Genomic DNA, 12,100 nt, shown 5'->3' on the forward strand with positions numbered 1-12,100 from the left:
TTCACATAAAAACTACTCAGAAGCATTCTGAGAAACTTCTTTGTGATGTGGGCATTCAACTCACAGAGTTGAACCTACCTTTTGATTGAGCAGTTTAGAGTCTCTCTTTTTCTATAATCTGCAAGTGGATATTTGGAGCCCTTTGCACCCTATGGTGGAAAAGAAAATATCTTCAATAAAAACTACACAGAAGCATTCTAAGAAACTTCTTCATGATGTGTACAGTCAACTCATTGAGTTGAACTTATCTTCTCAATGAGCAGTTTTGAATCTCTGGTTTTGTAGATTCTGCAAGTAGATATTTAGAGCCCTTTGTGCCCTATCGTGGAAAAGGAATTATCTTCAAATAGAACTACACAGAACCATTCAGAGAAACTTCTTTCTGATGTATGCATTCCACTCACAAAGTTGAACCTATCTTTTGATTGAGCAGTTTTGAATACCTCTTTTTGCTGAATCTGCAAGTGGATATTTGGAGCATTTTGAGGCCTGCTGTGGAAAATCAAATATGTTCACATAAAAACTACACAGAATCACTCAGAGAAACTGCTTTGTGATGTGTGCATTCAACTCACAGAGTTGAACCTATCTTTTGATTGAGCAGTTTTGAATCTCTCTTTTTGTAGAATCTGCAAGTGGATATTAGGAGCCCTTTGCGTCCTATGGTGGAAAAGGAAATATCTTCAAATAAAAACTACATAGAAGCATTCAGAGAAACTGCTTTGTGATGCGTGCATTCAACTCACAGAGGTGAACTTATGTTTTGTTTGAGCAGTTTTGAAACTCTCTTTATGCAGAATCTGCAGGTGGATATTTGGAGACCTTCGAGGCCTACTGTGGAAAAGGAAATAACTTCAAATAAAAACTATACAGAAGCATTCTCAGAAACTTCTTCATGATGTATGCATTCAACTCACAGAGTTGAACCTATCTTTTGATTGAACAGTTTTGAATCTCTCTTTTTGCACAATCTGCAAGTGGATATTTGGAGCGTTGTGAGGCCTACTGTGGAAAATCAAATATGTTCACATAAAAACTAAACAGAAGCATTCTGAGAAACTTCTTTGTGATGTGTGCATTCAACTCACAGAGTTGAACCTATCTTTTGATTGAGCAGTTTTGAATCTCTCTTTTTGCAGAATCTGTTAGTGGATGTTTGGAGAGCTTTGAGGACTATTGTGGAAAAGGAAATATCTTCACATAAAAACTACAGAGAAGTATTCTGAGAAACTTCTTTGTGAGGTGTGCATTCAACTCACAGAGTTGATCTTATCTTCTCATTGAGCAGTTTTGAATCTCTTTTTTTGTAGAATCTGCAAGTGGATATTTGGAGCCCTTTGAGCCCTATGGTGCAAAAGGAAATATCTTGAAATAAAAACTACAAAGAAGCATTCAGACAAACTTATTTGCGATGTGTGCATTCAACTCACAGAGTTGAAAATATCTTTTGATTCAGCAGTTTTGAATCTCTCTTTTTGCAGAATCTGCAGGTGGATATTTGGAGCCCTTTGAGGACTACTGTGGAAAAGCAAATATCCTCACATAAAAATTACACAGAAGCATTCTGTGAAACTACTTCATGACGTGTGAATTCATCTCACAGGGATGAATTTATCTCATGATTGAGCAGTTTTGAAACACTCTTTTTGTAGAATATGGAAGTGGATATTTGGAGCCCACTGAGGCCCACAGTGGTAAGGAAATATCTTCACATAAAAACAACACAGAAGGATTCTGAGAAACTTCTTTGTGATGTGTGCATTCATCTCACAGGGTTGAAACTTTCTTTTCATTGAGCAGTTTTGAAACACCGTTTTTGTAGAATCTTCAAGTGGATATTTGGAGAACTTTGCTGCTTATTGTGGAAAAGGAAACATCTTCACATAAAAACTACTCAGAAGCATTCTGAGAAACTTCTTTGTGATGTGGGCATTCAACTCACAGAGTTGAACCTATCTGTTGATTGAGCAGTTTAGAGTTTCTCTTTTTCTAGCATCTGCAAGAGGATATTTGGAGCCCAATGCGCCCTATGGTGGAAAAGGAAATATCTTCAATAAAAACTGCACAGAAACATTCTAAGAAACTTCTTCGTGATGTGTACATTCAAATCACTGAGTCGAACTTATCTTCTCAATGAGCAGTTTTGAATCTCTGGTTTTGTAGAATCTACAAGTGGATATTTGGAGCCATTTGTGCCCTATGGTGGAAAAGGAATTATCTTTAAATAAAACTACACAGAACCATTCAGAGAAACTTCTTTGTGATGTATGCATTCAACTCACAAAGATGAACCTATCTTTTGATTGGGCAGTTTAGAATCTCTCTTTTGAAGAAACTGCAAGTGGATATTTGGAGCCCTTTGCGCTCTGTGTTGGAAAAGGAAATATCTTTAAATAAAAACAACACAGAAGTAGTCAGATAAACTTCTTTGTGCTGTCTGCATTAAACTCAGAGAGTTGAAACTTCCTTTTGGTAGAGCAGTTTTGAAACACTCTTTTTGTAGAATCTGCAGGTGGATATTTGGAGCGCTTTGAGACCTATGGTAGAAAAGGAAATATGTTCATACAGAAACTAGATAGAAGCATTCACAGAAACTACTTTGTGATGTGTGCATTCAACTCAAAGAGTTGAACATTCCTTTAGTCAGAGCAGTTTTGCAGCACTCTTTTTGTAGAATCTGCAAGTGGATACTTGGACTGCTCTGAGGCCTATGTTGGAAAAGGAAATATCATCACACAAAAACTAGACAGAAGCATTCTCAGAAACTTCTTTGTGATTTGTGCATTCAACTCATGGAGTTCACCATTGCTCTTGACAGAACAGTTTTGAAACACACTTTTTGTAGAATCTGCAAGTGGATATTTGGAGTGCTTTGAGGTCTTCGGTGGAAACAGGAATACCTTCACATAAACACTAGACAGAAGCATTCTCAGAAACTTCTTTGTGATGTGTGCATTCAATTCACAGAGTTGAACCTTCTTTTCGATAGAGCAGTTTTGAGACACTGTTTTTGTATAATCTGCAAGTGGACATTTGGATCGCTCTTAGGCCTACGGTGGAAATGGAAATATTTTTAGATAAAAACCAGAAAGAAGAATTCTCAGAAACTTCTTTGTGATGTGTGCATTCAACTCAGAGAGTTGAACCTTTCTTTTGATAGAGCAGGTTTGAAATACTTTTTTGTAGAATCTGCAAGTGGACATTTGCAGCACTTTGAGGCCAATGGTGGAAAAGGAAATAACTTCAAATAAAAACTAGACAGAAGCATTCTCAGAAACTTCTTTGTGATGTTTGCATTCAACCCACAGATTTGAACATACCTTATCATAGAGCAGTTTTGAAACACTCTTTTAGTAGACTTCGTAAGGGGATATTTGGACCGCTCTGAGGCCTTCGCTGGAAACGGGAATACCTTCACATAAAGACTAGACAGAAGCATTCTCTGAAACCTCTTAGTGATGTGTGCATTCAACTCACAGAGTTGAATTTTTCTTTTGATAGAGCAGGTTTGAAACACTCTTTTTGTAGAATCTGCAAGTGGATATTTGGATAGCTTTGAGGATTTCGTTGGAAACGGGAATATCTTCAATTAAAAACTATACAGAAGCATTCTCAGAAACTTCTTTGTGATGTGTGCATTCAACTCACAGAGTTGAATCTTTCTTTTGATAGAGCAGATTGGAACCACTTTTGTTGTAGTATTTGCAAGTGGATGTTTGGACAGCTTTGAGGCCTTCGTTGGAAACGGGTATCCCTTCACATAAAAACTACACAGAAGCATTCTCAGAAACTTCCTTGTGGTGCTTGCAATCAACTCACTGAGTGGAACATTCCTTTTCATAGAGTAGTTTTGAAACACTTTTTTTGTAGAATCTGTAAGTGGAAACTTGAAGCGCTTTGAGGCCTATGGTGAAAAACGAAATATCTTCCCATAAAAACTAGACAGAAGAACTCTCAGAAACTTCTTTGTGATGTGTGTACTCAATTAACAGAGTTGAACTTTTCTTTTGATAGAGCTGTTTTGAAACACACTTTTTGTAAAATCTGCAAGTGCATATTTGGATATCTTTGAGGATTTCATTCGAAACGGGATTATCTTCACATAAAAACCAGACAGAAGCATTCTCAGAAACCACTTTGTGATGTTTGCATTCAACTCTCAGAGTTGAACATTCCTTTTCATACAGAAGTTCTGAAACACTCTTTTTTTTTGTATCTGGTAGTGGACATTTGGAGCGCTTTGAGGCCTATGGTAAAAAACGAAATATCCTCACATAAAAACGAGACAGAAGCATTCTCAGAAACTTCTTTGTCATGTGTGTACTCAACTCACAGAGTTTAACCTTTCTTTTGATACAGCACGTTTGAAACACTCCTTTTTAGAATCTGCAAGTGGATATTTAGATAGCTTTGAGGCTTTCGTTGTAAAGGGGGAATATCTTCATGTAAAAACTAGACAGAAGCATTCTCAGAAACTTCTTTGTTATCTTTGCATTCCACTCACAGAGTTGAACATTCCCTTTCATAGAGCAGTTTTGAAACTCTCTTTTTGTGAAATCTGCAAGTGGACATTTGGAGCGATTTGAGACCTATGGTGAAAAACGAAATATCTTCACCTAAAAAGTGGACGGAAGGATTCTCAGAAACTACTTTGTGACGTGTTTACTCAACTTACAGAGTTAAACCTTTCCTTTGATAAGGCAGTTTTGAAAAACTGTTTTTGTAGACTTTACAAGTGGATATTAGGACAGCTTTGAGTATTTCATTGGAAACGGGAATAACTTCACATAGAAACTAGAGAGAAGCATTCTCAGAAACTTCTTTGTGATGCTTGCATTCAACTCACTGAGTTGAACATTCCTTTTCATAGAGCAGTTTGGAAACACAATTTTTGTAGTATATGGAAGTGGAAACTTGGAGCGCTTTGAGGCCTATGGTGAGAAAGGAAATATCTTCCATAAAAACTAGACAGAAGAATTCTCAGAAACTTCTTTGTGATGTGTGTACTCAACTCACAGAGTTGAACTTTTCTTTTGATAGAGCAGTTTTGAAACACACTTTTTGTAGAATCTGCAAGTGGATATATGGATAGCTTTGAGGATTTTGTTGGAAACAGGAATATCTTCACATAAAAACAAGACAGAAGCATTCTCAGAAACCTCTTTGTGATGTGTGTACTCAACTCACAGAGTTTAACATTTCTTTTGATACACCAGTTTGAAACAGTCTTTTTGTAGTATCTACAAGTGGATATTTGGATAGCTTGGCAGCTTTCATTGGAAACGGGAATATCTTCACATAAAAACTAGACAGAAGCATTCTCAGAAACTTCTTTTTGGTGCTTGCAATCAACTCAGTGAGTTGAATATTCCTTTTCACAGAGCAGTTTTAAGACACTCTTTTTGTCGAATCTGCAAATGGAAACTCGGAGGGCGTTGAGGACTATTGTGAAAAAGGAAATATCTTCCCATAAAAACTAGACAGAAGAATTCTCAGAATCTTCCTTGTGATGTGTGTACTGAACTCACAGAGTTGAACCTTTCCTTTGATACAGCAGTTTTGAAACACTCTTTTTGTAGAATCTGCAAGTGGATATTTGGATAGCTTTGAGGTTTTCGTTAGAAACGGGAATATCTTCAGATAAAATCTAGACAGAAGCATTATCAGAAACGTCTTTGTGATGTTTGCATTCAAGTCACAAAGTTGAACATTCGCTTTCATAGAGCAGGTTTGAAACACTCTTTTTGTAGTATCTGCAACTGGACATTTGGAGCGCTTTGTGGCCTATGGTGAAAAAGGAAATATCTTCCCATAAAAACTAGACAGAAGCATTCTCAGAAACTTGTTTGTGATGTGTGTACTCAACTGACAGAGTTGAACCTTTCTTTTGATAGAGCAGTTTTGAAACACTCTTTTTGTAGAATCTGCAAGTGGATATTTGGATAGCTTTGAGGATTTCGTTGGAAACGGGAATATCTTCATATAAAATCTAGACAGAAGCATTCTCAGAAACATCTCTGTGATGTTTGCATTCAAGTCACAGAGTTGAACATTCCCTTTCATAGAGCAGGTTTGAAACACTCTTTTTGTAGTATCTGGAAGTGCACATTTGGAGCGCATTGAGGCCTAAGGTGAAAAAGGAAATATCTTCCCATAAAAACTAGACAGAAGCATTCTCAGAAACTTGTTTAGGATGTGTGTACTCAACTAACAGAGTTGAAACTTTCTTTTGATAGAGCAAAACAGTAAATTGAAGTTTAAAATAATTGTAACAATTGCATCTTATATATCAGGTGAGATTTCATAGTTTGGTTCAAGTAGTTTTCAAGTGACAAATTTTCAAGTTTTTAAGTTTTCAAGAGTTGTGCAAGTTCATCAGCCAGAAATCAAGCAAAAGGCTAGATAAGTAGCAGCAGGTGCAGGATTCTTGATATTGAAACTTTTAGGACTTTTCTCCTTCAGGATTCCAATGTTGTACATTTTATTTCCAGTATAACCCCTATGCATGGGATAAAGTAGTTTCACATGTTTGATTTTTCTAATTAGTTATTTGGGTTTCAAAATGTCCAGTTTATCAAAAAATCTTGTGCTGTGTACTGGGGACCATCTACTATAGCCTGATCATTGAATTTTTCAAGAACCTAAGGGGTTCCCTAAGTCCAAGGAAGACAATCAGTGTCTACAAGTCAGGAGGAGAAGGGGAAAGGGCATTCTAATCATTGCTTTGTTTTCATTGATTCTGTTGCTGCTTTCTTGCCATTGAAACTACTCTTGCAGTCTGGTAATGATTAACCTTTGCCACCAGGATGCCCTTTCTGTTTGAGATCCCTCAATCTTCATGTTGATCCATAAAAAGGCTTCAAAGTTACAACTATTTTTTTTAGTTCCCAGACTAACAAAAATAATCTAGCTTTTTGTCTTGACTACCAACCACTCTGGATTTTTTTTTTTTTTTTTTTTTTTTGAGATGGAGTCTCGCCCTGTCGCCCAGGCTAGAGTGCAGTGGCGTGATCTTGGCTCACATAACCTCCACCTCCCAGGTTCAAGCAATTCTCTTATCTCAGCCTCCGAAGTATCTGGGACTATAGGCACACACCACCACGCCCGGCTAATTTTTGTATTTTCAGTAGAGATGGGGTTTCACCATGTTGGTCATGCTGCTCTTGAACTCCTGACCTCAGGTGATCCATCTGCCTTGGCCTCCCAAAGTGCTAGGATTACAGGCATGAGCCACCATGCCCGGCCCACTCTGGATTTAAGGACAGTTCTTCCTTCAATCAGCAGCCAAAGAGTCCTGATTCCTGATTCTAATTAAGAAGTTTAACTTGGTATTCTATTTCTGATGGAAGGATGGCTGAAAGAAGGGAGACTCAAACAACAGATGAAGGCAAAATACTCTGTACTGAATTTTCAATGTAATCTTAAATTCTATGTTTAATTGAGATGACCCAAATTCTTTTTTTTTTTTTTTTTTGATACGCAGTCTCGCTCTGTTGCCCAGGCTAAAGTGCAGTGGCATGATCTCGGCTCACTGCAACCTCCACCTCCCGGGTTCACACCATTCTCCTGCCTCAGCCTCCCAAGTAGCAGGGACTACAGGCACCCGCCACCACACCTGGCTAACTTTTTGTATTTTTAGTGGAGACAGAGATGACCCAAATTCTTAACTGCCTCATAAATACTGTTAATATATTGAAAGTTTTGCCCTAGGCTTTTATTAAAGTCAACTATATAGAAAAAGTTTCTCCTATCTTGAGATGTATTATTAAAGACATCATCCCCAATAATATTCCATATTCTCTGTTTAGGAACCCCAATTGTTTTCAAATTCAAGAATTCAGAGAAATCTACTTGTTACAAAAGAGTAGAATGGATAATGGGCACCACATCCTGAAGTGTATTTTAATAAAAATTCATGTAAGATGGTTCAAAATTTCATTAACTACTTTATATAAAAAGAAATGCCTGGGAGAATTCTGTTTCTAGCAGAGTGGCAGACTGATGCCTTGAACAACCCTCCTATTACAAAACTGAATACTCCACATGAAAACAAATCTTTTCAAATGCATTGTTAAGCTGTGAAGAGAATAACGAAAGTTCTAAGAAACCAAAATCTAAATGAAAACACAAGTCCAGGCAGGCACTGAAAACCTAAAAAAAAAAAAAAAAAACTGAAGAGGCCAATTGTTGGCAAGCATGTGGAACAGCAGGAACTCTTCAAGCTGCTGCTGGTGGCGGAGGCCAAGCCACTGTGCTCCCAGAACACAACACAGAAGCCTCCACACTGAAGCAGAGCACAGGTGCCCTGGAGTCTCCACCCCACCCAGGGATCCTCCAGCAGAAGTGGGTGTGCCCCTGCATACCTGCAAGTCCCATATGCAGACCTACTGTTCAGGGCTGTGGGATAACAGCCAAAAATAGGAAATCATTTTACTCATCAATGGAAAAATGGTGACACAGTCATATAATGGAACTCAACAATGACGATAAATCAATGTCTGCCATAGACAAGAACATGGATGTGTTCTGTAATACTGAACCAAAGAAGCCAGGCTAAATAGAATGTGCTGTATTTTATAGAAGTCAAAACCAGGCAGAACAAATCTACATCAGGAACTGGGAAAGTAGCTATTTTGTGGGTTGGGGCAGCAGTGCCTGGGAGAGGCCACAGGTCAAGGCTACTGCTTGGTCCAGGGCGTGGCAGCCTGGTGTGCTACAGTTCATCTAGATGCACACTTATGATTCGGGCACTCTTCTGTATGTACATTAACATTTCAATAAAAAGCTTATTAAAACATTAAAGCTTTCAGAAAAATCCACATTGCTTCAGTAGAAATTAGCACATTAGCGTTTAAAAAATACATGTATATGGTGGGGGAAAAAAACAGTTCAAAAGAGTATCCAGTGAAAAGTTTAAGAGGGAGTGATGCCAGCTAAGGGCTGATCAATAGCCCCTTGCACTCATCCCCTGACAAAGACAGCCAAAGCAGCAAACAGCTATATTTTGATGAAAGTCACTAAAGGAGAGCCCCAGAGTGCATCAAGGAGTAGCAGAAATCCAGTAGAGCCCGGAAAACAGGACGGTCACATAAAGGAGGGAAGGAAACATCTGGCCCCCACCACCCATTCCCCCAGAGGGATCAGCCTGAAGCAGAGGGGATGTCTCCCTGCAGGAATAAGGAAGCAAGAGGGGCCCAGTAGCCCCAGCACTCCCCTCAGAGAAGGAACTGACATTGTGCCCCACCCCCATGGACCAGCTGCTGCTGCAACGTGCCCTCCTGGACCTGGACCACTTCGGGAGCATGTCCCACCCAGGGTGAGCAGCCACCGCACCCTTCTTCCATCCTCAGGCTTTGTTGCTCTATATCACACCCACCTAGTGGCTCACCACCCCTGAGCCGCTGTTACACTGTCTTAGGCCATTTAGTGTGGCTGTAACAGAATACTTGAGACTCGGGGTAACTTATTTTATAAAAAAGGTTTATTTGGCTCACCCTGCTTGTGTCTGAAAAGTCCGAGATCGGGCAGCACAACTGGTGAGGGTCTTGTGCTGCTTCATCTCATGGGGAAAGTGGAAGGCGAAACAGGTGTATGCAAGGGGCTCACATGGCAAGAGAGGAAACACAAGAGTCTAGGAAGCTGAACTCACTCTGATAACAATCCACTCCTGGTAACTAATCCAGTCCCATGAAAAGGCATTAATCTATTCATAAAGGATCTGCCCTGTGACTCAAATAACTCCCACTAGGCCCCACCTCCCACACCACCACATTTGAAATCAAATTTCAAATGGATGAAATTTCAAATGGCTGGTGGGAACAAATGATGTCCACATCACAGCACACACCCCACCTGCGGGGCCACGCTGCTGTGCCCCTCCCCTCCCAGCTGCCATTGCGCCCTGCCCCTTGGAGCCTGAGCTGACTTGGTGCCCTGCTTTCCAGGGAATCAGTGTCTTGGCCAGTCTAAGCAGTCACACCCCCCACTGCATGAGAGCTGAAGCACTGCCCTGCTTCACAGAGAATCAGTGTCTTGGCTGAGCTGAGCAGCCACACCTGCCAGGGATGAGCCAACATGGCACCCCCATATCCCAGGAAAACGGCATTGGCTGAACTGGGGTACCTTGCCCTTCAGGACAAACAACTGTAGAACCCTGCTTCCTTGGAACTGGACTAGCCCTGGAGAATCTGAGTTGCCCAGGCACCTGCCTCCCCAGGGAGAGAAGTAGTTGCTGTACTGGTCCCTGCCCCCGAGGGCTCAAGCCACAGTAGTGCTCCACCATTCTGGGGTCCTTGCTGATGCTGTGCCTGGCCTTTCAGAGACTGAGATGCTGCTGTGTCCCACCACTGCAGGGTCCAGAGTCACTATCATGTCACTCCCATGTCCAGAGTCACTCCCATCCCCTGGGAGTTTACTTCTTAAACTCTTCGCAAAAACAGAGTGAGAGGAAATAATTCCAAACACATTTTACCAGGCCAGTATCACCTTAATACCTAAGCCAAACCAAAACACACACACACACACACACACACACACACACACACACACACGCACACACCGAACAAAAACTACAGGTCAACTTCTCCAATAAATTAAATACTGATGCAAACATCCTAAAAAAATTTTAGCAAATAGAATTCAACAACACATCAAAAACATTATACATCGTGTTTAAGTGGGATTTATCCCTGGCATGCAAGGCTGGTTTAAAATATGTAAATCAATCAATGTGATACATCACATTAACAAAATGAAAGATAAAATGACATGGTCACCTCAATTGATGCAGTAAAAGCATTTAACAAAGTTTAGCAACATTTCTTGATAAAACCTCTTAATAGTTTATGTATAGAAGGAAAGTTCCTCAACATAATAAACACCATTTATGAAAAACCCACAGTCTAATCATAGTTAGTGGGGAACAACTAAAGCTTTTCCACTAAGATTGAGTACAAGATAGGGATGGCCAGCCTCATCACTTTTATTCAACAGAGTACTTGCAAGAGCAATCAGATGAGAAAAAAAAGGCAACTAAATTAAAGAAGTAAAATTATCTCTATTTGCAGATGACAAGATCCTTTACGTAAAAAACTCCAAAGAGTCCACAAAAAACTGTGAGAGCTACTAAATCAATTCAGTTAAGCTGCAAGGTATAAACTCAACATATAAAAATCAGTTGCATTTCTGTATACAAATAACCTAGCTGATGAAGCAATCAAGAAAATAATCTCATTTACGATAGCATCAAAGAAAAACAAAAACTTAGGAATAAATTTAACCAAGAAGGTGAGAGATGTGTACACTTAAAAACCATAAAACATTGATGAAAGAAATTTAGACATGAACAAATGAAAAGACATCCTATGTTTATGGATCAGAAGAATTAATATTGTTAAAATGTTCACACTACCCAAAGCAAATATACAGATTTAACACAATCCTCATCAAAGTTCTGATGACATTCTTCACAGAACAGAATAAAACAATCCTGGCCAGGCACAGTGGCTCACGCCTGTAATTCCAGCACTTTGGGAGACTGCAGCGGGTGGATCATGAGGTCAGGAGTTGGAGACCAGCCCGGCCAACATAGTGAAACCCTGTCTCTACTAAAACTACAAAAATTGGCCGGGCATAGTGGCATGTGCCTGTAGTCCCAGCTACCTGGGAGGCTGAGGCAGAAGAATTGCTTGAATCCAGGAGGCAGAGGTTTTAGTGAGCCGAGATTATGCCACTGCACTCCAGCTTGGGTGACAGAGTGAGACTTCACCTCAAAAAAAAAAAAAAAAAGAAAAGAAAAGAAAAAACAATCCTGAAACTCATATGGAACCACAAAAAACCCCAAACAGCCAACAGATCACTGTGAAAGAAAAAGTTGGAGGCATCACACCTCTTGATTTAAAATTGCATTACAAAGCTATAGTAATCAAAACAGTATGGTGCTGGCATAAAAACAAAAAAATAGACCAATGGAACGTAACAGAGACCTTTGAAATAAATCCAAACATATACTGTCAACTAATTTTTGACAAGGGCAAACAAGACAACACAATGGTAAAAAAGATAGTCTCTTCAATAATAGGATTTTCACATGCAAAAGAAT

The 12,100-nt window shown here is 39.5% G+C and overlaps 1 pseudogene across 1 annotated transcript in view, besides 1 other annotated feature; it reads left to right on the plus strand.

Annotated features, from left to right (window-relative positions):
• LOC101929583 (methylenetetrahydrofolate dehydrogenase (NADP+ dependent) 1 like pseudogene) overlaps positions 1-7,733 on the plus strand; it is a 60,728-nt pseudogene extending 52,995 nt beyond the window's left edge. The window contains exon 4 of the transcript NR_136299.1: positions 7,484-7,733. The product of NR_136299.1 is annotated as a methylenetetrahydrofolate dehydrogenase (NADP+ dependent) 1 like pseudogene (transcript). The remainder of the gene's footprint in view (positions 1-7,483) is intronic.
• Positions 5,529-6,437: an enhancer, noted in NCBI's record as "OCT4-NANOG-H3K27ac-H3K4me1 hESC enhancer chr9:69710675-69711583 (GRCh37/hg19 assembly coordinates)". NCBI's record gives its function as "activates a minimal SCP1, AML or CMV promoter by ChIP-STARR-seq in primed H9 embryonic stem cells {active_cell/tissue: H9 hESC(primed)}" and the evidence as "EXISTENCE:reporter gene assay evidence [ECO:0000049][PMID:30033119]".
• Positions 7,734-12,100: the final 4,367 nt, after the last annotated feature.

This window comes from Homo sapiens, chromosome 9, assembly GCF_000001405.40.
Source record: "Homo sapiens chromosome 9, GRCh38.p14 Primary Assembly".
In the NCBI taxonomy this organism is placed as follows: Eukaryota; Metazoa; Chordata; class Mammalia; order Primates; family Hominidae; genus Homo; species Homo sapiens.